This window comes from Homo sapiens, chromosome 4, assembly GCF_000001405.40.
Source record: "Homo sapiens chromosome 4, GRCh38.p14 Primary Assembly".
Taxonomy (NCBI): domain Eukaryota; kingdom Metazoa; phylum Chordata; class Mammalia; order Primates; family Hominidae; genus Homo; species Homo sapiens.
Genome location: NC_000004.12, coordinates 172,294,211 through 172,321,611, shown reverse-complemented (window position 1 = coordinate 172,321,611; position 27,401 = coordinate 172,294,211). Strand labels below are relative to the sequence as shown.

General features: G+C 36.1%; 1 protein-coding gene across 4 annotated transcripts in view; it reads right to left on the bottom strand.

Moving 5' to 3' along the window:
* Window positions 1-27,401, bottom strand: part of GALNTL6 (polypeptide N-acetylgalactosaminyltransferase like 6) — a 1,228,156-nt gene that overhangs the window by 719,948 nt on the left and 480,807 nt on the right. For all 4 annotated transcript variants that reach the window (NM_001034845.3, XM_017008243.3, XM_017008244.3 and 1 more), the window contains one exon: window positions 9,860-9,998. In NM_001034845.3, coding sequence (NP_001030017.2) covers window positions 9,860-9,998 — 139 coding nt within the window. The remainder of the gene's footprint in view (window positions 1-9,859; window positions 9,999-27,401) is intronic.

Here is a 27,401-nt window from a genome sequence, read left to right as displayed (position 1 = left end):
CTCTTTATTGATGTCCTCTATTTAATGAAACATTATCTTAATACCTTTCTTTGTTTCTTTCATTATGTTTCCTTTAGTTCAGTAGATGTATTGATGATGGCTAGTTTGAAGTCTTTTTCTGTTATATTTAATCTCTGATTTCTCTCACAGACAGTTTGTATTACCTGCCTTTTTATTATTCTGAGGGGTCACACTTTACTGTTTCTTTGCATGGCTTATAAGTTTTTGTTGGAAACAGGATGTTTCAGATGATATATTTTAGCAACTCTAAGTACTGATTATTCTGCCTCCCACTTGGACTTGTTATTGTTATTTGCTTGTTTATTTTTTTAGTAACTGGCCTGATTAGAGTAGTCCCCAACCCCCAACCCCCACATCCATGGGGGATATGTTCCACGACCCCTAGTAGATGCCTAAAACTGCAGATAGTACCTAACTCTATATTTATTATTATTTTCCAGCACATACACACCTATGATAAAGTTTAATTTATAAATCTGGCAGAGTAAGAGATTAACAACAATAATAAAATCAAACAATTATAACAATATACTGTATCAAAAATTATGTTAATATGGTCTCACTCTCTCTCCAAATATTTTATTGTACTGTCCTCACTTATTTTTTGACTATGATTGACCACAGGTAAATAAAGCCTCCAAAAGTGAAATCACAGATAAAAGAAAACCACCGTATTTTGTTTGAAGTCCATTTCTTTTCATTACATGGTTAAGTCTCCAGCGTTGCTCCTCAGGGGGCTGTGGCTTTGGGTTGCCCACATTCAGCCTGAGATGACAGTGGTATTCGTAGGGGTTTCTTCCTCTCTTTCCTGACCATATCCTGCTGTTAAACACCACTAATTGCTGGTTGATTGCTTTCTTGTTTTTAACAGTGCCCTGGGATATAAACTGTTCTACACACTAACCTGTTCAAATTGTGGCTCATTTGAAGGGTTAGTTTTTGAAGTCTCTCTGTGATATTTGTTCTGACACCAGGAGGGATCCTCCCAAGTTTCTCATTCTTTTTTTCTCTCCTGCAAAATGGCTGGCCTACAGTCTAGGCTGTATCTTCCTAAATATACAAACCACCACCGTACAATTACTTTTCACCACAATCTCTTTTTCAGCGTGACCTTAGGTTTGAACTTCTCTATGCAACGTTGCAAAGAAGTCAGTTTCTTTGGGAAGATATTTGGTGCTATATGTTTTGTGCCTTGCTTCTCTCTCAGGCAAAATCTCTGAAGCAAAGCTCTGGAGATAAGGGTGGGGACAAGGCCAACATTCCTGGAAAGACACCCTGCTCTAGAAGCTAAGCACTCAGGAAGAGGGGACCAGTAGCCTGAGAACCTCTCTGCTTGCATCACTCACGTGAAATCACCACATCACAAACTGGGCAAAGTACAATAAGGGCCTGAAGTATTCTCAGCATGCTATACCCCACGTAGAGCCTCTGTTTCATGTGTGGTGGCTAAGAGGAAGAAGAGATGCCACCTCTGTACTATGATTACCCAAGACTTTCTCTTAGTAACAGGAAACAAGGAGCAGGATGAGAGATATTGAAGTCCTGCTCCTCCTAGGTAAACGGCTCTTGGATTCGGAGTGAGGCCAATAGAAAGCCCTGTGTTCTTGGTTGCATCTGTCTGAAGTAGTGTCTGACTTGCTGAGTTGGGAGAGAAGGATAGAGTGATCTTCTTTCAGATACCACAAATTCCTTTCTTACCAAATTTTCATAAATTGCCTTGAATAGATGTTTCTTCCCTTTCTATTTGCCTTTAGGACCATTTCCAGAGACTTAGATATTTTTAAAGAAATAATTTTCACCAACTTCACCAGGGATCAAGTCAGGGGAGTACCTTATGCTGACATCCAACCTTTGGATGACTTATTTATAAACTCATCTAAGTGCCTGTCACTCACATGCTTAATAAATAATTGTCAGACAACTAAAAATGTGCTTCAGGTAAGAGCACATTTGTTATTGAAAAATACTTACCAGGATTTCTAATCTTGATAAAGTATGTTTTAAGATAATGATTTAAAATAAAATTTATAGAGACAGTTTTTCTTCTGTAAAATCAAGTACAATTATCTGTGAATACTTGAGAATAAAATTAATAGTTTTTAGGTGCACATTTAAAATATTCAAATCAAGAATCTTTATAAATGAGATAAATTTATTAAAATTTTAAATGACTTCTTCTGTAGTGTGGTAACATGCACATTGATGGTTCAACCAATTCTGTTTAATTATTAAGTTCAAGAGAATACGTGATATATCTACTTTAATTTTTTAATTTGAATGAGCATTAGATTTACAGATTATCCTTTGGCCGCAATCACATTTATTAATGCCACTGTTTGGCATCACAATCTAAGTGCTAGTGATTACTTTAACAATAGTTTAAGATTACATGGCTTGCTGATTTGGAAAGGAAGCTCCAGCATTCTCTTTAAAATGGCAGAATTTTCTTACAGACTCATTCTTTATTATATACAACCTAAAATCTTAAATCACTGTCTGTCATTTCAGTAAACTTCTGTGGGTAGGAGTAAAACGAGGAAGGGGAAAATTTAGAAATACAGTTGCTAGATAAACCTTACAGAGCAACGTATATGATTACATCAAATTTTCAGATTTTTTTCTTTAAAGGTCAAAATTATGAATCTATTGCTCAAACCTACGCTTTCAGTTTTATTTATTTGATCCTTATCATAAGATTACAGAGGCTGTTCTTTGATATTCAACACACATGATTTTGAAGCAGCCATAGTTTATTTTTAGATTTTTTTTTCATGTGCACTGTTTTCCCATTGTTATCCTTTTAGACTCCAGTTCCCTTATCCTTGTCCTCATTCAGCCTTTCTTTTTTTGTTGTTTTTTGTTGTTGTTGGTTTTTTTGGGGGGTGGGGGGGATGGAGTTTCGCTCTTATTGCCCAGGCCAGAGTGCAATGGTGCGATCTTGGCTCACTGCAACCTCTGCCTCCTGAGTTCAAGTGATTCTCCTGCCTCAGCCTCCAGAGTAGCTGGGATTACAGGCGCCCACCACCACGCCCAGCTAATTTTTTCTATTTTTAGTAGAGACGGGGTTTCACCATGTTGGCCAGGCTGGTCTCGAACCCCTGACCTCATGATCCACCTGCCTCAGCCTCCCAAAGTCCTGGGATTACAGGCATGAGCCATGGCACCCAGCCTCATTCAGCCTTTCAAAGACCCAGCCTCATGGTCTGTCAGTCACTCCAAAAGGTTAATGTCTGACAAGTCTTAAACTGTTATCTCTCCAAGGAAGATTTTTGTTTCACTAGGGACATACCTCTTAGTTACAGTGATAAACACCTTCTGTCTTTTTCAGGCTTTAGTCAAGAATGAGAGGTATATCTAAATTTTTTGTTGTTGTTATTTCATTATGACTTTCTGTAATGACCCTGAGAACTTATGTACTAATGTCTGTATTACTGTGCATACAATTGGTTTTCAAAAAATATTGAAGGGTACTCACTTAAATAACAGTTTTGAGAGATGGCTTCTACCTGATTCTAGCTATTCCTTCTTTCAATCTCCTGCTTATCATTTAATTGCTTTATTTTTTAAGTAATATTTAGATGTGCCCTAGGCTAGAATAGTGTTTGATTTAAAGGATACATTTCCCATCTCTGTCTCTGTGGCAACATTCACACCTAATTGGAGTGCATGAACAGTCATTTTAGTTTATTTTGCTTCTGAATTCACTTGTAAACTTGTTGAATGAAGGTACTTAATCAAGTTCACAAGGATATCATAATAAAAATGGAAAAGGCAATCAACTAGTGCTATTCACTTTTTATGTGGCTTTTGAAATTGAGAAATATAAAAAATTATCCTTGCAAATTTTTGGACGGTTAAACTCAAATATGTTTGCCAATGAGTTCTAGGATTACAAAGACAAGAGTCAAAACGGATCACATTTTTCTACTATGCATAAAAATAAAATAAAAACTATTTATAGTATATTTACAAAATCTTATCTGAAAGAAATTGAATACATAACTATTCTTTCTAATAAAAATCTAATTATGTATTTACAATTAAAATTGTGAAATTAGAATACACTAGGTCTCCTTATATTTTACATCTCCATGATATAACTGGAAAATAAAAAAGGGAATCAACAAGATCATTATCAGAAGACAAAGAAATAACTGAATAGATCACGCGATCGCTGATTTGGTAAACCTTGCCCCAATTTTAATAATCTTCATACATGGTGAGGAAGCTGAAGAAACTTGCATCCCCGCTTACGGAAATGGGCACATAAACATTCAAAACGCAATTGGACTTGTTCAGCATCACAATGCAAGTCATGCAAGTCAATATATTTAGAATCATTATTCAATATACTTCCAGGAAGGCAGGAGTATTTAGAATATAAGGCACTGAAAAATCAAGAGTTTGCTCAAAAGTCTGTATATATCAAGAAATAGCATATAGTGCTGACTTTGTAAGTACTTCATGTAAGTACTTGTAAGTATGTACTACTTATCACAGGAGGAGACTTCTTTTCTCTACAGATGTTCCCATGTGGCAGGACAGTCATTAGACAAACGCACCTGGCCTTTCTCCACCTTTTCAGAGTTTCTTTCCCGGAGAAAGAGATTCGTGGGTTTGGGTTACAAAGCTTACTGTAGTTGGCCAGCTCCTTCTTCATTTTTTTCTGCTTTGGAACCTGCTTGCCTGCGGAGATCAGTCATCTTATTCTGCCATCCATGACTTAAGTTTGACAATTTTGATTATGCTATCCAGCAATGTCTGTGACTTGAAGACTGAATGTGCCTCATTCTGGACTTCAGTCTTGAGTATAATACTTGGCCTGCATCTAAACCATGCTCACCAATAGAATTGCAACAATAATAAAGCGAATGTTTTCATAGCAAATCGTTTCTGGGGCTATCTCTCAAATGGTTCTGAAACTACAGGAAACAGGACTACATTAGTCTGGTATAACTGCAACCCTACTGAAAACAATCATATAATCCAAAAGGTTGTAAAGATTCTCTTAGACAGAAATAGTTTTAGCTTCATGGCTTTGACAAGCAATGGAATATTGAGTGTTGAGAGAACACTCTGTGATACCTCATACTCCATTTATTGTCAAAGTCATGAAGCTAAAACTATTTCTACCTGGGTAATATTAGTGATATAAAAAAGAAATGATAAAAAGTCACAATACAAAGTGAGACTATATTAATTTTAAAATATCCCAGCTACTCAGCCACCTTAGAAGTCTATCTCAGGTAACATGTAGGTGCATAAATATTTATCTGTATAAACACATATACTTTTATAACGGCCAAAAAAATGAAACTCATATCAAAGATGCATTTACCCAAAACTGCTGTGAAGCCTACCTCAACTCTCCTATTAGAATGGTTCTTCTAGCTCTTTATCTCAATTATTCCTTTTTTCATAGATATGAATTTTTCTTACCCACATTAATTACACTAATTATATCATGTTTACGGGGTATTTGTGATAACTTTTGATTAATTCTTCCATATGCAGGGAATAATACTTGCTTAAAAATTCTTCAATTTTATCTTAGCAACAACATATTCATGCACAAATTTATCAGAGCTTCTTTTCTATATAGGCCATTTTTACATAGTTTTCTATTTCCCTATTTTATATGTATATTTCAAATAGATGTCTTATGTCTCCCATCCTGAACTATAAGTTAAATAAGGTGTTCCATAGCATGCTAAGAATATATGTGACATCTCAGGTAGATGACTAAATACAAAGACATGGCAAAATCAATACACAAGTGGAGAAAACCTTAAAGTGTGGCAAAATAAAACCAGGCCACCGAGATATCCATTGACTGGACATTTGTCATACAGAAGTGCTCATTGTAAAATTCTTTTCAACATTGCATTAAATAAAATATAAAGATAAGATGTTCTAAGGAGAGATTCAGGCTGATCACAGGCACTATGGATACAGACATGACTTGGCACTAACAGAAGAAGGGAGTGAGTATTTAAAATACATCAAGTATATGCTCAAAAAATATATAAAAATCAACCAGGGCCAGGCACAGTGGCTCATGCCTATAACCCTAGCACTTTGGGAGGCCAAGGCAGGCAGACTGAGGTCAGGACTAGCCTGGCCAACATGGAGAAACTCTGTCTCTACTAAAAATACAAAATTAGCCAGGTGTGGTGGCGCATGCCTGTAATCCCAGCTACTTGGGAGGCTGAGGCAGGAGAATTGCTTGAACCCGGGAGGCAGAGGTTGCAGTGAGCTGAGATTGCACCATTGCATTCCAGCGTGGGCAACAAGAGTGAAACTCCATCTCAAAAAAATAAATAAATAAAATCAACCCAAAGTGTAGGGCTAGGAGAATATAAAAAAAGATTAAAAATTTGACATACCAAAGCACAGATAGTGTAAGAAGCTGAAACAATTTGTAAGATAGAGAGATGTTAAGAGCATTTGGAAAAACTATTTTAAAAATTAAAAACAAAAGTGAAAAGCTTGAAATTTATTTTTTGGATAAAAGTAAGACTGATCAAATTATTGCACACATGCCAATATACTGTCCTTCGTCTATGGCTCCTACTTAAGGAAATCTATGCTGATTCTGAAATAATAAAGCCAAAAAAAGCAGTTTATTTTTATACTAGTGAAGAAATGAATCAGAAAATTTCTTTAAAAAATCCCTATGCAGGCCTGGCACAGTGGCTCACGCCTATAATCCCAGCACTTTGGGAGGCCGAGGCAGGCGGATCACCTGAGTTCAGGAGTTTGAGACCAGCCTGGCCAACGTGGTGAAACCCTGTCTCTACTAAAAATACAAAAAATTTAGCCAGGCTTGGTGGCAGGTGCCTGTAATCTCAGCTACTCGGGAGGCTGAGGCAGGAGAATCGCTTGAACCCAGGAGGCGGAGGTTGCAGTGAGCCAAGATCGCATCATTGCCATCCAGCCTGGGCTACAGAGGGAGACTCTGCCTCAAAAAAAAAAAAAAAAAAAAAAAAAGCCTACGCATTAGGATTTCTGAAATACATTGTCTTAAATATTCTTCATTGTGTACTAGAATGTGCACTACATATCAAAACATATAAAACCATGATTTTTTTTAACTAAATGTGAGAATATGAAAGAGTACAGAGCACTTAAATATACAGGGAGTGACCAATAGTTTATCACATGGCATAAGTCCGGCTAGTATGCTTTAGAATAAGATCAAGTTCAGTTAAATCTCAAGATAGGAGTCCCCATATCTTCCATTGCAAAATCCTAGAATAAAGAAAAATAAACTCTTCCCTCCTAGCACTCTGAGACTAGTTTCAATTGGCTTACTGAAAAGGAAAAGTTTCTTAGAAGTGATGTTTTATTTTAAAAGTCACACAAAGTTTGCATTCTATTCTATAGATTGTGTCAATATAAAAAAGCTATGGTCCATCACTTTCAGCCTAGTTAAATAGATAATACTGAAATATGTCACAAGTTGATCTTATAATTTCAAAGATCACTTACACAGAGCTGCATACTCTTGTGGTTAAATGTACCTGCCCTGCCTTTGGTGAAGCACAGATGAAGTCAAAAGCATAGTACTTTAAACAGTGGGAGCCTGTAAGACATTATTTGGCTCTCCGTTTCCTGCAGGTGGAGCATGGCAAAATCAGAGGTGACATCAGGCTTCTCTTCCAGCATTGCTAAGAGTCAAATACTGACCTCACCAAGGTGAACCTTATTCCTGGTAGTATACTTAACACTTTCTTTTTATCCATCTCAAACCCTCTCAAGGTTTTTGTTGCTGTTGTTGTTTGTTTTCGTATTTTTTCTTTTTTTCTTACTACATGACCACTTGTCCTATTAAATATCCAGCCTTAGTAACTAAGTTGGAATATTATCCCAGATTATATTTTGGCCATATTTTTCTTCCGTAACATTTATAATAATGCTTTCTTCATATTGTAAATTGAGTAACCCTAATAAAAATTTCAGAATTTTTTTTACATCTTTCCATTTTTTTCCCATTATTACATAAGATCTTTTCTTAAAAGATGGTGTTCACACTAAAAATAGTTTTTGAGAAGAATGGGAATAACTGTCTTCTTTTGACTTCAGTGATTTTCTGCACTGTTTCTAAACTTGTCATTATTTCCACTTGAATACACATTAAGAGATTGAGATTAGAAGTGTTGGGGTGGGGACCGGGCACGGTGGCTCAGCCTGTAATCCCAGCACTTTGGGAGGCTGAGGTGGGCGGATCACGAGGTCAGGAGATCGAGACTATCCTGGCTAACAGGTGAAATCCCGTCTCTATTAAAAATACAAAAAATTAGCCGGCATGGTGGCAGGCGCCTGTAGTCCCAGCTACTCGGGAGGCTGAGGCAGGAGAATGGCGTGAACCCAGGAGGCGGAGCTTGCAGTGAGCCGAGATCAAGCCACTGCACTCCAGCCTGGGCGACAGTGGGAGACTCCACCTAAAAAAAAAAGAAGTGTGGGGGTGGGGGGGGGAACTGGATAGATAAAAATTACTCTCTTAGCATATTTATTATGCCAACAATGCAACTTAATGCATCTTTGATGATGTGCAATTAGGTATTAAAATTTCTCGTAACTAGAAATGTTCTTGGTCAGTGAGAATTACTGTAGATAATTTCAGGTAACGTGGGGATAATTTGGCTGGTTAAAAGGCCTGGGTCAATATATAAAGCACTCAATTTAGGAAAAAAAGATTGTTCTTCACATTAGTCCTCTGTTTAGCTATATTGGGAAATGCAACTTCATATAAAACATGAGGAGAAAAACAGTAATTATTTCATAATTTTAAATAAATTTCTAAAGATACAAAATGGCAACTAGAAAATAGTCCTTCAAACCATAATGTACTGATATTTTTTTCTAAAGGGTCAATTATCTTTGCACAAAGTTAAGGAGTTTTATTCGCTTTAAATTACTGGTTTAATTTAGATTTCTGATTCTTATTTTAATTAGTTGCCCTGATTTTTTTTCCTTGATTTTCTCTCTCTCACACCAGGGTTTCCATAGGGAAGTTTTTGGGTTGTTGTGGGTGAAAGGATAGCTATATTAGTACAGTTAGATAGATTTATCAGATACATGTGCCAACACTACATTACAAATTCTTATCACATTCCATGTTCTCAGTTAGTATCCTTTGGTGGTGTTTATGCTATTAGGAAAACAATAACACATTAAAATGAAAAGTACAATAAGTGATGTTAGATGTAGATGGGGGTGGATAGAGAAAAGATGGATTTGGGGTAAGTATATATAGTAGTATCATTTCAACTATAATATGCAGTTACAGTTCAATAGAAACTCAACTCACTGTCAACAGACAAGCCACAAGCAGTTCATAAAGTGACAAGAAATTGAACCAGCAATCACTACTTATCACTTTTGGATTATGGATGCATTCATTTAGGGTATTCTTTATGAAAATGCAACAACCATGGCACTAAATCTGTCTGGGGTGAGAATGAAGTTCATAGAAGACATGCACATGTAGACAGTTCTGGTAGCTCTAATAACCAGCAAAAAACATTTGCTTTGTAATTTACATGATCAAAAGTTAAAAGTATGGATATTGCCTTAAAATATTTTATGTTAATGAGTTAACACAGTCAACAAAAATGTGTATTGGATTTTTAGAAATTCAGTATTGTTTTAAAATTTTAATGGTTACTCCAATTTAGGTCAAGTATATTTAAGATGATGCAATATGAGTTTTTATCAAAATTATTAGGATAAAATATTTGGTTACATATCTCGCAGTGATACACATTTAAAAAAAAATCAAAGGACAAAAAAAACCAAAAAAACCCACCCTGATCACTGATATGCTGATACTCACTTAGCATGACGAATATCTGGCAGAGACCTCTCTAGAGCAATATTGTTGCTGACGAAAATATTAAAACCATTTTCCCTGTAAGCTGAGTCATCATGGTCCTCTTCAGTAAGGGGGTAAGGTTTCCCATGTTCACCTTTCCCTAGCAGGAGAAAACAAAATGAGATTATCATCTCTATAAAAGCCATTTTATCTTCTAGAACAGATAGGAAGACTGGAATGTGTATTATCGCCTATTGCTGTGCTCTGCAGAAGGAGCTAGTACTAAGATTTTATTATATTATTTTAATTGCCTTTAAGTAAATGAAATATACTCAATATAAAAAGCAAACCACACAGAAGTAGAAAGTGTAATCTCACATTGCAGAGAGAACCACTGCCAAGATTTTTAGTGTACGTTTATTAATACTTGTATGCAGATTTTAATACACACACTGATTTGTAACTTGATTTTTCCAGAATAATTGTATACTTTTTATTTACTTCCAATAGTTGATGTTATTTGATTGTATTCCAATTTACACCATTCCACTGAAAATATACTATTATTTCTAATTTTTCCATTACAATGAACATCTTTGCTTTTCACAGTTATGCATTTTTGAAGGGGAAGCATAAATCCCCAGAAATGGAATTACTGAGATATCTTTAAAGTACATATAACAGTTTTGACACATCCTGAGACACACTGTAAATTTTCAGCTTCATCAGTAAAATATATATTCCTCATATTTTAATTTGACATTTCTTGATTACTATGAATTAATAATTTCTTATATCTTTATCATTTGTATTTCCTTCATTGTGAAATGATTGTTCAAGCATTTTTAAAAACAGTTTTTGTTTTTTACATACTATATTTATTATATTTTTGTTAATTACATATGTTGCAAATATTTTATTTTATTAAATCAGATTAATTTTTCCATCCAGATGATTTTACTTTTTTCTTTTATAATTTCTCGTTTTATATTTTATATATTTACAAAGAAGGCCTTCCCTAGTCTAGTATCACTTTTAGTATCTATTTAAAAACTCAGAGTTTTACTACCATTCTGTTTTTATTTTATCTATCAAAATTTTTGAAACATCTGGAATATGTTTTGGTGTGAGAAGTGCGATAAATATAATTTTTATTTTTTTCAAAGCAAATGTTCAGGCAGTTATAGAAATACTATTTATTGAGGCTGGTCATAGTGGCTCAGGTCTATAATCCCAGCACTTTGGGAGGTCAAGGCAGGCTGATCACCTGAGGCCAGGAGTTTGAGACCAGCCTGGCCAACCTGGCGAAATGCCGTCTCTACTAAAAATACAAAAATTAGGCAGGCGTGGTGGCACACACCTGCAATCTCAGCTACTGGGGAGGCTGAGGAATGAAAATCGCTTGAACCCAGAAGGCAGAGGTTGCAATAAGCCAAGATTGGGCCACTGCATTCCAGCATGGGTGACAGAACAAGACCCTGTCATATTAAAAAAAAAAAAAATTATCGAGTAATTTGCTTTTTTCTTCCCTGCTTTAAAATGCTATGTACAAAATTTTGTACACTTGCTCATGCATATTTAAACATTATCATGGCATTCACTGCTATGCCAATGCTTGCATTGGAAACATCATTAGTAACCCCTTTTAATATATGCAAAGCCATTTCTTACTGTATTCTTTTTCCAACTGATAACATGTTTATTTTTCTGTATGAACGGTTTAATAAACTGGCCTTTCTGGATTTTGTTTTTTAGATTACATTAGATTTTCAGGTTCATCCTTATATAATTGATATTTTTATATATATCAGCTATTTTTCAAGTGTTCTGCTTTTGGACCTCAGTGGCGTTTTATACAATTTTCATTCTTTTAGTCCTATGCAATTTTTGGTAAATTTTTGTAGATGTGTTTTACCTTCATTGTATTGTTTGTAGTATCCTTTCCTTCATTACATTTTTCTAAATAGCACACACTAAAGTTATTTATTTTTATACTTCTTATTCAGCTACCAAACTGAACTATTTTTAAATAATTTTTAAAAACTAGTGTTTTACAGATACACAATGTTTACTTCAAATAATAATATTTTTGCCTCCTCTTTCTTCATAACTCATGATTTCTTATCTAATTATATAGTTAACAATAAATAATTATTAACAGGCATTTACTCTGGTATTGACTTTAATACAATTGCTGTTAAGTATTACAGAATTAAGCTGAGTAATTAATATGTATTTGTGTGTGTATGTGCTTGAGTGTCTAATAATATGCATCTATAACTCATCATTTAAGAAATAATATTTCTAGTACCCTTTAAAACAAGGTCTTTATTCATTAATATGATTTTAAAAACACTTTTTAAAAATCTTTAGAGATTTTTATATTTTTCACTTTAGTAACCTTGATTTACAAACATGTTATTCATTTTGTATTACTAGAATTCAAGATTTTGTTAGAAAATTTGGTTTCCATATCAGTGATTCCTCAAAAAAAAAGTATCTTTCTTTTCTTAGTTTCTTACTACTACTGCCCTTAAATTCAATAGCCCTGACAGCCAAGATCATACGGCTGGGGATTGATAAGAAATTATATTCTCAAAAAGCAGACTGGAAACCTCTCCAATCAAAGGAAAAGAAACAAAAATCTTTAAATGACATTTGGCCCCAAAAAACCAAAAATAAAAACAAAAAAAAACAAATTTCATCTTCTTTGCTTCCCTGTTTGATTTCTTAGGAGAAAATGTCATTTATTACTTTTCAACGTAAATGGAAAACAAATCAGTGAGAAATTTCATGTATATAACAGCTAGTTATTGAGCATCCATGATATACAAAGTATTGTGTTAAATTACTTCATATAAATTTTTAACCCAACACAGTTACGCCTTGAAATAAACATTCTGCTACCTAAGTTACATGTAAGTAAATAAAAGAGAGACTAATGTTCACTAGCACTTCCATAGTTAGAAATTAGCCATATAACGTGCGGAAATGTTTAAACGACATAAATCTTTCTTCCATTAATGACAAAATTTGCTGTAAGGTCTCTTGGACTTATATAGTCTCTGGTTTTAACTAGATCTATGTCATTCCATACATCCTATTTAAAAAGAAAATTTTATGCCAGGTGCAAGTCAATAAATGTGATACACCACATACACAGAACTAAAAACAAAAATCATATGATTATCTCAATAGATGCAGAAAAAGCATCTGACAAAATCCAGCATCCCTTTATGATGAAAACCCTCAGTAAAATTGGCATAGAAGGGACATACCTCAAGGTAATAAAAGCCATTTATGACAAACCCACAAGCAACATTATATTGAATGGGACAGGAGGGAGTTCACAGCATTTGCCTGAGAACTGGAAAAAAACAAGGATGCCCACTTTCACCACTTCTTTTCAACATAGTCCTGGAAGTCCTAGCCAGGACAATCAGACAACAGAAAGAAATAAGGGGCATCCAAGTTGGTAAAAAGGAAGTGAAACTGTCATGGTTCACCAATGATATAATCATGTACCATGAAAACCCTAAAGACTCATCCAAAAAACTCTTAGTTTACTACTTTACTGAATTCATTTACCAGTAAACAGTAAAAATTCATTTACTGGTAAATGAATTCAGTAAAGTTTCGGTATACAAAATCGATGAATACAAATCAGTAACACTGCTATGTACCAATGGTGACTAAGCTGAGAATCAAATCAACAACTTAACCACTGTTACAAGAGCCGTAAAAAAAAAAAAAAAAAAAAAAAAAAAAAAGTTAAAACACATCCCATGCTCATGGATGGGTAGAATCAATATTGTGAAAATGACCATACTACCAAAAGCAATCTATACATTTAATGCAATTCCAATCAAAATACTATAATTCTTCACAGAACTAGAAAAAGCAATCCTAAAATTCATATGGAACTAAAAAAGATCCCACATAACCAAAGCAAGACAAAGAAAAAGGAACAAATCTGGAGGCATCACATTACCTGACTTCAAATTATACTACAAGGCTATAGTTATCAAAACAGCATGGTACTGGTATAAAAACAGGCATGTACACCACTGGAACAGAATTGAGAGCCCAGAAATAAAGGCAAATACTTACAGCCAACTGATTTTTGACAAAGCGAACAAAAACACAAAGTGGAGAAAGGACATCCTATTCAACAAATCTTGCTGGAATAATTGGCAAGCCACATATAGAAGAACAAAACTGGATCCTCATCTCTCAATTTATACAAAAATCAACTCAAGATGGATCAAAAACTTAAATCTTAGACCTAAAATCATAAAAATTCTAGAAGATAAAATCAGAAAACCCCTTCTAGACATTGGCTTAGGCAAAGACTTCATGACCAAGAACCCCAAAGCAAATGCAAGAAAAACAAAGATAAATAGATGGGACTTAATTAAACTCAAAAGTTTCTGTGCAGTGAAAGATATAATCAGCAGAGTAAACAGAAAACCAACAGAGTGGGAAAACATCTTCACAAACTATGTGTCTGACAAAGGACTAACATACAGAATCAAACATATGAAAAAGTGCTCAACATCACTAATTATGAAGGAAATCCAAATTAAAACCATAATATGATACCATCTTACTCCTGTGAGAATGGCCACAATTTAAAAATCAAAAAATAGTGGATGTTGGTGTGCATGTGATTAAAGAGGAACACTTTTACACTGCTGGTGGGAATGTAAACTAGTACAACCACTATGGAAAACAGTATGGAAATTTTTTAAAGAACTAAAAGTAGAACTACCATTTGATTCACAAGCCCTCTACTGGGTATCCACTCAGAAGGAAAGAAGTCATCATAAGAAAAAGACACTTACATATGCATGTTTATAACAGCACAATTCGCAATTGCAAAAATATGGAACCAGCCTAAATGCTCATTAACCAATGAGTGTGTAAAGAAAATGTAGCATATACATACCATGGAATACTACTCAGCCAAAAAAAGGAATGAAATAATGGCATTTGTAGCAACCTGTATGGAGCTGTAGACCATCATTTTAAGTGAAATAACTCAGGAATGGAAAATCAAACATCGTATGTTCTCACTTGTAAGTGGGAGCTATGATATGAGGACACAAAGGCATAATAATAATATTATGGACTCTGGGCACTCAGGGGTAAAGCTACCAGGGTAAAGGGTGAAAGACTACACATTGGGTTCAGTGTGCACTGCTTAGGTGATGGGTACACCCAAATCTCAGAAGTCACCACTAAAAAATTTATCCATGTAAACAAACACCACCTGTTTTCCCAAACAATGGAAATAATTAAAAAAGAAAATTGTACTGTAAAGTAGCCTTTCCTTTCTTCAACATATTTTTGTTTTCATTTATTTATTTATTTATTCATTTATTGGAGATGGAATCTTGCTCTGTCACCCAGACTGGAGTGCAGTGGCGCGATCTCGGCTCACTGCAAGCTGCACCTCCCAAGTTCAAGCAATTCTCCTGCCTCAGCCTCCCGAGTAGCTGGGATTACAGGCACCTGCCACCATGCCCAGCTAATTTTTGTATTTTTAGTAGAGACAGGGTTTCACCATGTTAGCCAGGTTGGTCTCGAACTTCTGGCCTCAGGTTACTTTCCCAGCTTGGCCTCTCAAAGTGCTGAGATTACAGGCATGAGCCACCACGCCCGGCCAACATATTTTTATTTTCAAATTCATATGCCCTAAGTAAAATGTATACATCCACCCAAAGCTTCTTTTAAAAAATGTTTGTACGCATATTTTTAGTGCTGAGCCTTTAGATTCTGTCACTTCTAAGACTACAAAATAAAAATTTGAAGCTACACATTCATTAGACCATCTGTCAATTAAAGGGAAATTTATTTTATTTGTACATCAATTTGGTGTTCAGAGTGATGAATCTCATGAGATAAAGCTTTTTAAATGAATGAATGATTCTCTAAAGGTATAAAACAAAACTGGTGAGTCACCAATTATGGCATACTAGACATTCCTTCTTTGCAGTTGTGAGAATAGGATTTAAAATGGTATGTTTTTATACACAAAGCCAGCAGTTTTTACTGCAAATTCTATCAACTCATCTTAAGTTCTAATAGGTAGAGCCTCAAGGTTTATATTGTCTCATACAGTCTTACATTGCTTTTGCAAACAACAAAACAAAATAAAGCAGAAGACTCTAAACAAAAAAAAAATTGTATGTTTGAATATTTATGATAATACTCAGAGGATTTAACAGTGATTATTTCTCTATTGCTACATCTATTTCAACACTAAAATTTATAATATAATTTACTATTATCAAATGTAAAATCAATACAGCATCTTTCTTTAAATATGAGAATTAGTGTACCATCTGCTATGTTCAAATTAGTATGAAAGGTATGTGAGATGTTTTAAATAATCAAAATATACAAATTAAATATTATATTTAAATATATAAGTATTAAGCAGAAAAATTGCTGTCTTACAAATATGTCTTTGATACTATGTATACTTAAGGCAGATAGTAGATACTTAACATGTAATTTATGTTAATTTTCTCATTGTCTACCTGGCATTTTTCCCCCTGGCTAAATGACATTTTATTTAGTATGGCAGTCTTGTACATTGGCACACCTACCAATTTTTGATATGTTTATTGATTGTCTACTATATGCACCACTGGGTAGGGAAACTGAAAATATGGATAGTATAACCCCTATCCAAACAGCTAGAAATATTCTATAATTGAAAAGATATAGGGAAAACTTATAAACCAGCAATTGTGATATGGTAACATATTTGTGGAATTGAATGAACTAAACAATAAGACCTAGAAGAGTTTCAAAATTGTGGAAAACTAATGAACTTTGTATAACCTGGAAACTGCAACTAGAAAAAGTGAGATTTCAGCTCACATTGGAAGAAGAGTAGAGAATTAAAATAGTTTTTGTGTTAAGTACGGGGCTAGGGAGACTTTACATAAGAAGAAATGGGGGTGAATGAATTTGTACAGACAAGACTTTTGAAAATCCTGTTTGGAACATAATAAGTCTATCTAAATAGAGATCTCTTAAGATGGAATACTGAGAGATAAAGTAGGTTTATGTCCGGGGGAAAAAAAACCCTGCTAGTGACACTTTAAAGTATTTTAAGTATTTCTTACAAGTAACTAGAATACAAGAGAAACATAAATCAGTGTTTTTACACTTCTTCTGAGGAATTTTGAGCAATAAGCAGCTGAAACACTCAAGAATTTTTATAGCCAGACCTCTGCTCAAATATGATTTTTTGGAGAGAGTTTTCATAATTAACACAATTAAACCAGCATACCCAGGACATCAGGACCTATTTCCCAAATTTGCTTTTTTTTTTCCCATATACTACTTACTATTCTACACTTATGTTTTCACCTATTAACCGACTAATGTTCCCATTGGGATGTATGCTCCGCAGAAGCAGGAACTTTTTGATCTTCATCGTAATGTCTCCAGCAGCAACAAGAGTGACTGCCACATAACAGGTACGCCACACATATTTTATGAGTGCCATATGAAAATGAGGTGCTAAGAATTTGGGCTTATTACTCAGGGGAAATGAAGAAAGTTATTCATGTACTTATTCAAAAGCACATATTAAGCACCTACTCTGTGACAAGGTCTGGGGATGAAATATGAACACCACAGTTATTAACTCTGATATCAAGTTTGAGAGAAAAAAAACCCAGAATATTGTGATTTAAAACATATTTTAATAATCTAGGAGCATTGAGAGCTGGGAATGTGTCTTTATGTCTTTGGGTGAGAAATCATTAGCAAAGTGATTTGTTCCCCTCTGAAATGAATGGAGAAATGAATTAATGCACTTTGTATTATGAGGCAGACAAAGGATTTATCACAATGAGATGGGACACATAAACAGACAGTAACTACTGTTTCATTCTTGGGCAGGGGCAGGGGAGTGAGGGCAGTTTGGAAATGGGGAGATGTAAGTCAAAAGATATAAAACAGCATATATGTAAGATAAACAAGCTTAGAGCTCTAATGTACATAAGGATTAAGGTAATAAAATGGTATTGTATTAGGGAGTTTTGTTAAATAAGTAGATTTTATCTGCTGTTGTCACACAAACAAAAGTAACTGAGATAATACATATGTTAATCTGCTTCACTATAGTAATAATTTTACAATCTATGTGTATCCCATAACATTATATTGTGAGCCTTAAATATACACAATACAATTTATTTTTTTAAAGGCAACAGGTAGGCAGGCAGAAAACAAGTGTCACAGACATGATACTGAGAGATGAGTGCATACAGGGAGATTAGGAATCGCAACTAAGGTTTGGTATGGCAAGAGTGTGGTTTTCATAAGGTGGAGTAGTAACAGACATAACCAGAAAGGTAGTAAATTGTTGGGGATGCCTTATTCTGGAAGTAGTACATCTTAATCAGAGTGAAGTGTAGTAAGTTAATAATCCATACTGACATCTCTAGGGTAATGCCAGGCGCTGTGGCTCACGTCTGTAATCCCAGCACTTTGGGAGGCTGAGACAGGTGGATCACAAGGTCAGGAGTTCAAGACCAGCCTGGCCAAGATGGTGAAACCCCATCTCTACTAAAACTACAAAAATTAGCTGGGCACAGTGGCAGATGCCTGTAATTCCAGTTACTCGGGAGGCTGAGGCAGGAGAATCGCTTGAACCTGGGCGGCAGAGGTTGTAGTGAGCCAAAATCGCACCACTGCACTCCAGCCTGGGTGACAGAGTGAGACTCCATTTCAAAAAAATAAAAATAAATAAATAAAAATTTAAATGTAGCACAAGAATGTCTAATATAAAACCTAACAATAAAGAGAAATGAAGTAATAAAAATCCTGTCTGTGTAACAACAAAGCAGAAAAAGGATGAATCAAGGATTATATAACAAATGAGACATATAGAAAACAAACAGCCAAACTTAAATGAATAGATTCCTTCTTAAAAAAAAAAGTTACCAAGATTAACAAGAAGAAATTCAATATCAAAATAGTCCTATATCTATTTTTAAAAGTTGAAAACTCCAGGCACAGGTGAACACTCTGGTGAATTTTTCTGACAATAAAGTAAGAAATAGTAATATTCTTATACAAATTTTTTAGAAAACAGAGGAACTTATTTTTATTTTCTTGCCAGCATGGATCTGATATCAAAGCCAGGTAAGAGCATTGTGAGAAAGGAATGCCACAGATTTATGCCTCTCATGAGGATAGGTGGAGAAATCCTTAAAAAATATTAGCAAGGACAGGTGGAGCCAAGATGGCCTAATAGGAACAGCTCCAGTCTACAGCTCCCAGCATGAGCGAAGCAGAAGACGAATGATTTCTGCATTTCCAACTGAGGTACTGGGTGCATCTCACTGGGGATTGTCGGACAGTGGGGGAAGAACAGTGGGTGCAGTGCACTGGGCCTAAGCCAAAGCAGGGTGAGGCATTGCCTCACCCAGGAAATTCAAGGGGTCAGGGAATTCCCTTTCCTAGCCAAGGAAAGGGGTGACAGACAGCACCTGGAAAATTGGGTCACTCCCACCCTAATACTGCACTTTTCCGACAGTCTTAGCAAACAGCACACCAGGAGATTACATCCCATGCCTGGCTCGGAGGGTCCTACGCCCACAGAGCCTCACTCATTGCTAGCACAGCAGTCTGAGATCAAACTGCAAGGCAGCAGCGAGGCTGGGGAAGGGGTGCCCGCCATTGCTGAGCCTTGAGTAGGTAAACAAAGCGGCTGGGAATCTTGAACTGGGTGGAGCCCACCGCAGCTCAAGGAGGCCTGCCTGCCTCAGTAGACTCCACCTCTGGGAGCAGGGCATAGCCAAACAAAAGGCAGCACAAACCTCTGCAGACTTAAATGTCCCTGTCTGACAGCTTTGAAGAGAGTAGTGGTTCTCCCAGCAACGCAGCTGGAGATCTGAGAACGGACAGACTGCCTCCTCAAGTGGGTCCCTGAACCCTGAATAGCCTAACTGGGAGGCACCCCCCAGTAGGGGCAGACTGACACCTCACATGGCCGGATACTCCTCTGAGACAAAACTTCAAGAGGCACAATCAGGCAGCAACATTTGCTGTTCACCAATATCTGCTGTTCTGCAGCCTCCGCAGCTGATACCCAGGAAAACAGGGTCTGGAGTGGACCTCCAGCAAACTCCAACAGACCTGCAGCTGAGGGTCCTGACTGTTAGAAGGAAAACTAACAAACAGAAAGGACATCCACACCAAAACCCCATCTGTACGTCACCATCATCAAAGACCAAAGGTAGATAAAACCACAAAGATGGGGAAAAAACAGAGCAGAAAAACTGAAAATTCTAAAAATCAGAGTGCCTCTCCTCCTCCAAAGGAACATAGCTCCTCACGAGCAATGGAACAAAGCTGGACGGCAAATGACTTTGACGAGTTGAGAGAAGAAGGCTTCAGACGATCAAACTACTCCAAGCTAAAGGTGGAAGTTCGAACCCATGGCAAAGAAGTTTAAAAGCCTTGAAAAAAGATTAGACAAATAGCTAACTAGAATAACCAATGCAGAGAAGTCCTTAAAGGACCTGATGGAGCTGAAAACCATGCCACAAGAACTACGTGACGAATGCACAAGCCTCAGTAGCCAATTCGATCAACTGGAAGAAAGGGTATCAGTGATGGAAGATCAAATGAATGAAATGAAGAGAGAAGAGAAGTTTAGAGAAAAAAGAATAAAAAGAAACGAACAAAGCCTCCAAGAAATATGGGACTATGTGAAAAGACCAAATCTACGTCTGATTGGTGAACCTGAAAATGACGGGGAGAATGGAACCAAGTGGAAAACACTCTGCAGGAAATTATCCAGGAGAACTTCCCCAATCTAGCAAGGCAGGCCAACATTCAAATTCAGGAAATACAGAGAATGCCACAAAGATACTCCTCGAGAAGAGCAACTCCAAGACACATAATTGTCAGATTCACCAAAGTTGAAATGAAGGAAAAAATGTTAAGGGCAGCCACAGAGAAAGGTCGGGTTACCACAAGGGAAGCCCATCAGACTAACAGCTGATATCTCGGCAGAAACTCTACAAGCCAGAAGAGAGTGGGGGCCAATATTCAACATTCTTAAAGAAAGAATTTTCAACCCAGAATTTCAAATCCTGCCAAACTAAGCTTCATAAGTGAAGGAGAAATAAAATCCTTTATAGACAAGCAAATGCTGACAGATTTTGACACCACCAGGCCTGCCCGAAAAGAGCTCCTGAAGGAAGCACTAAACATGGAAAGGAACAACCGGTACCAGCCACTGCAAAAACATGCCAAATTGTAAAGACCATCAATGGTAGGAAGAAACTGCATCAACTAACGAGCAAAATAACCAGCTAACATCATAATGACAGGATCAAATTCACACATAACAATATTAACCTTAAATGTAAATGGGCTAAATCCTCCAATTAAAAGACACAGACTGGTAAATTTGATAAAGAGTCAAGACTCATCAGTGTGCTGTATTCAGGAAACCCATCTCACATGCAGAGACACACATGGGCTCAAAATAAAGGGATGAAGGAAGATCTACCAAGCAAATGGAAAACAAAAAAAGGCAGGGTTTGCAATCCTAGTCTCTGATAAAAAAGACTTTAAACCAACAAAGATCAAAAGAGACAAAGAAGGCCATTACATAATGGTAAACGGATCAATTCAACAAGAAGAGCTAACTATCCTAAATATATATATGCACCCAATACAGGAGCACCCAGATTCATAAAGCAAGTCCTTAGAGACCTACAAAGAGACTTAGACTCCCACACAATAATAATGGGAGACTTTAACACCCCACTGTCAACATTAGACAGATCAACAAGACAGAAAGTTCACAAGGATATCCAGGAATTCAATTCAGCTCTGCACCAAGCGGACCTAATAGACATCTACAGAACTCTCCACCCCAAATCAACAGAATATACATTCTTCTCAGCACCACACCATACCTATTCCAAAATTGACCACATAGTTGGAAGTAAAGCACTCCTCAGCAAACGTAAAAGAACAGAAATTATAACAAACTGTCTGTCAGACCACAGTGCAATCAAACTAGAACTCAGGATTAAGAAACGCACTCAAAACTGCTCAACTACATGGAAACTGAACCACCTGCTCCTGAATGACCACTGGGTACATAACGAAATGAAGGCAGAAATAAAGATGTTCTTTGAAACCAATGAGAATAAAGACAAAACATACCAGAATCTCTGGGACACATTCAAAGCAGTGTGTAGAGGGAAATTTATAGCACTAAATGCCCACAAGAGAAAGCAGGAAAGATCCAAAATTGACACCCTAACATCACAATTAAAAGAACTAGAGAAGCAAGAGCAAACACATTCAAAAGCTAGTAGAAGGCAAGAAATAACTAAGATCAGAGCAGAACTGAAGGAAATAGAGACACAAAAAACCCTTCAAAAAGTCAATGAATCCAGGAGCTGGTTTTTTGAAAAGATCAACAACATTGATAGACCACTAGCAAGACTAATAAAGAAGAAAAGAGAGAAGAATCAAATAGATGCAATAAAAAATGATAAAGGGGATATCACCACCAATTCCACAGAAATACAAACTACCATCAGAGAATACTATAAACACCTCTACACAAATAAACTAGAAAGTCTAGAAGAAATGGATAAATTCCTCGACACATACACTCTCCCAAGACTAAACCAGGAAGAAGTTGAATCTCTGAATAGACCAATAACAGGCTTTGAAATTGAGGCAATAATTAATAGCTTACCAACCAAAAAAAGTCCAGGACCAGATGGATTCACAGCCAAATTCTACCAGAGATACAAGGAGGAGCTGGTACCATTCCTTCTGAAACTATTTCAATCAATAGAAAAAGAGGGAATCCTCCCTAACTCATTTCATGAGGCCAGCATCATCCTGATACCAAAGCCTGGCAGAGACACAACAAAAAAAGAGAATTTTAGACCAATATCCCTCATGAACATCGATGCAAAAATCCTCAATAAAATAGTGGCAAACCGAATTCAGCAGCACATCAAAAAGCTTATCCACCATGATCAAGTGGGCTTCATCCCTGGGATGCAAGCCTGGTTCAACATATGCAAATCAATAAATGCAATCCAGCATATAAACAGAACCAATGACAAAAACCATATGATTATCTCAATAGATGCAGAAAAGGTCTTTGACAAAATTCAACAGCCCTTCATGCTAAAAACTCTCAATAAATTAGGTATTGAAATTAGGTATTGATGGTACGTATCTCAAAATAATAAGAGCTATTTGTGACAAACCCAGAGCCAATATCATACTGAATGGGCAAAAACTGGAAGCATTCCTTTTGAATACCGGCACAAGACAGGGATGCCCTCTCTCACCACTCCTATTCACCATAGTGTTGGAAGTTCTGGCCAGGGCAATCAGGCAGGAGAAGGAAATGAAGGGTATTCAATTAGGAAAAGAGGAAGTCGAATTGTCCCTGTTTGTAGATGACATGATTGTATATCTAGAAAACCCCATCATCTCAGCCCAAAAGCTCCTTAAGCTGATGAGCAACATCAGCAAAGTCTCAGGATACAAAATCAATGTGCAAAAATCACAAGCATTCTTATACACCAATAACAGACAAACAGAGAGCCAAATCATGAGTGAACTCCCATTCACAATTGCTTCAAAGGGAATAAAATACCTAGGAATCCAACTTACAAGGGATGTGAAGGACCTCTTCAAGGAGAACTACAAACCCACTGCTCAATGAAATAAAAGAGGATATAAACAAATGGAAGAACATTCCATGCTCATGGGTAGGAAGAACCAATATCATAAAAATGGCCATACTGCCCAAGGTAATTTACAGATTCAATGTCATCCCCATCAAGCTACCAATGACTTTCTTCACAGAATTGGAAAAAACTACTTTAAAATTCATATGGAACCAAAAAAGAGCCCACATTGCCAAGTCAATCCTAAGCCAAAAGAACAAAGCTGGAGGCATCATGCCACCTGACTTCAAACTATACTACAAGGCAACAGTAACCAAAACATCATGGTACTGGTACCAAAACAGAGATATAGATCAATGGAACAGAACAGAGCCCTCAGAAATAATGCCACATATCTACAATTATCTGATTTTTGACAAACCTGATAAAAACAAGAAATGGGGAAAGGATTCCCTATTTAATGGTGCTGGGAAAACTGGTTAGCCATAGGTAGAAAGCTGAAACTGGATCCCTTCCTTACACCTTATATAAAAATTAATTCAAGATGGATTAAAGACTTATATGTTAGACCTAAAACCATAAAAACCCTAGAAGAAAACCTAGGCAATACCATTCAGGACATAGGCATGGGCAAGGACTTCATGTCTAAAACACCAAAAGCAATGGCAACAAAAGCCAGAAATGACAAATGGGATCTAATTAAACTAAAGAGCTTCTGCACAGCAAAAGAATCTACCATCAGAGTGAACAGGCAACCTACAGAATGGGAGAAAATTTTTGCAATCTACTCATCTGACAAACGGCTAATATCCAGAATCTACAAAGAACTCAAACAAATTTACAAGAAAAAAACAACCCCATCAACAATGGGTGAAGGATATGAACAGACTCTTCTCAAAAGAAGACATTTATGCAGCCAACAGAGACATGAAAAAATGCTCATCATCACTGGCCATCAGAGAAATGCAAATCAAAACCACGAGATACCATCTCACACCAGTCAGAATGGCGATCATTAAAAAGTCAGGAAACAACAGGTGCTGGAGAGGATGTGGAGAAACAGGAACACTTTTACGCTGTTGGTGGGACTGTAAACTAGATCAACCACTGTGGAAGTCAGTGTGGTGATTCCTCAGGGATCTAGAACTAGAAATACCATTTGACCCAGCAATCCCATTACTGGGTATATACCCAAAGGATTATAAATCATGCTGCTGTAAAGACACATGCACTCGTTTGTTTATTGCGGCACTATTCACAATAGCAAAGACTTGGAACCAAGACAAATGTCCAACAATGATAGACTGGATTAAGAAAATGTGGCACATATACACCATGGAATACTATGCAGCCATAAAAAATGATGAGTTCATGTCCTTTGTAGGGACATGGATGAAGCTGGAAGCCATCATTCTCAGCAAACTATCGCAAGGACAAAAAACCAAACACCACATGTTCTCACTCATAGGTGGGAACTGAACAATGAGAACACATGGACACAGGAAGGGGAACATCACACACTGGGGCCTGTTGTGGGGTGGGGGAAGTGGGGAGGGATATCATTAGGAGATATACCTAATGTTAAATGATGAGTTAACGGGTGCAGCACACCAACTCCCACATGTATATATATGTAACTGACCTGCACGTTGTGCACATGTACCCTAAAACTTAAAGTATAATAAAAAAATCAGCAAATTGAATCTACCAATATTTTAAAATATAATATATCATGACCAATAGAGATTTATTCCAAAAATACAATGTTGGCTTAACATTCAATATAATAAATACATAGTTCACCACAGTAACAGAATAGGTCTTAATGTTATCTCAATATAGGCAAAATATTCATTGGAGTAAAAGCCGATACACATTCTTAATGAAAATTTTCAGAAAGCTAGGAATAGAAGGGAATTTTCATGAATCTGACAAAGGGTATCCACAATGAAAATACAGCAAATGTCATATATCATTGATGAGTTAGTGAACACTTTCCCCCTGAGGTTAGAAACATAATAATGTCAAGCATCAATACTTCTATTCAACTGGACCCTATCGATACTATCTATTGATACTATCAAGTGATATAAGGCAAGAAAAAATAAAAGCTATATATATGTATATAGTAAAGAAAAAATAAAACTTTATTTTTGATAACGAGTGTATACAAAACTTCCTACAAAATTTTAAAGTATAAAAATTAACTTACTAGTTAATTTGGCAAGGTTGTTACTAATGATGATCTATATATTTCTGTTTATTTTTGTTATTGTTGCCGTTAGTGGTAGTGTTAATGGTGGTGGGTAGACCTGTGTGTGTGTGGGAGGGGTAGAGGGGGAGTGTTGTATATAGTGAGATTGAGGATCTGAATTAAAAATGTATTTGAAAAATGCACAGTACCTACAAATCCAAGGCAGTATTAATGAATAAGAACATAGCTGAAGAAAATTAAAACTACACATATTTGGTTATAGAGTAAACCAGAACTAGCTAGTTACCAAAAAAAAAAAAAAAAAAAAAAAAACCTAAAAAAAGAAAAGAAGAAAAAACAGTGCAACCATGCGGGGATAATAACTAGTCATTGTTAATAATACTCAGTCTCAATTTTCTGATTGTGGCACTTTTTTTTTTTCTTAAATGGAGTCTCACTCTGTTGCCCAGGCTCGAGTGCAGTGGTGCGATCTTGGCTCACTGCAACCTCCACCTCCTGGGTTCAAGTGATTCTCCTGCCTCAGCCTCCCCAGTAGCTGTGATTACAGGCATCAGCTACCATGCCTGGCTAATTTTTTTGTATTTTTAGTAGAAAGAGTTTTGCCATATTGGCCAGGCTGGTCTTGAACTCCTGACCTCAGGTGATCCACCCACCTCGGCCTCCCAAAGTGCTGGCATTACAGACGTGAGCCACCACGCCCAGCTCTTCATTTTTAGATATAGTTTGCTAATATGCCTAGTACCTGGAGATAGCTCACATTTTTACATTAAACGAAAGCACTATGTAATATTTATTTAGAATAAGAGTTAAAATTTTTATATTCATGCTGAATCTATATATTTTAAAAAGATAACATAAATCTATATGTACACATGGATGTTAAGAATTTGCTATGAATGAAATCAATAATTAGCTGTGTTTAAAATATACATGTTGTATAGAAATTTTAGTATTCTATCTTTTTTCAGCTTTCTATGTGGGCTTCTGAAAAGCTTTTATTTCCTAATTTTGTAGTTACCAAATTATCATGAAAAATATTTCTTGTCTGAGACAATGCAGGAGAAATCCTGTTAAATATTACACGTTAACATTTTAATCATGTTGAATCTTATTTAGTTTCATTCACCATTAGCAAATATGGGTTCTGCTTACACAGATAAAATTACAAAGTTTTTACAGTCACTAAGGACTAATGATAAAGTGTTTTTTTTTTGTCTGTTAAAATATCTGTAATTTATGTACTACAGAATTTCTGTTTTCTCTCTCCCCCTCCTATCCTCATTTATTCCCAAGAAGTGCTTGATTTAGTTCCCATGCATTGCATTCCTCACAAAGTGATACCCCTGCCCCCACCCTTGTTTTATTAACTCAAACTAAATGGAACACAACTGCCAAATGTGTCTCACTTGGTCTGCTAGCATCTTCCTTTGAGTAAAAATCGCAAACTGTCAGAATGTCATGGACTGAACATTTTTAACTACATCTAAGAAAATGGGCAATACAATAATGAGTGAAGTATTTTAAATGTCATTTGAAGCATGAGAAGTTGATGCTAAAAACTATCAAAGAAAGTAAGAAAAACTATAAAGAAAATAAAGAAGCCATTGGTAAAGGGGCAAAATAGATTAAATGC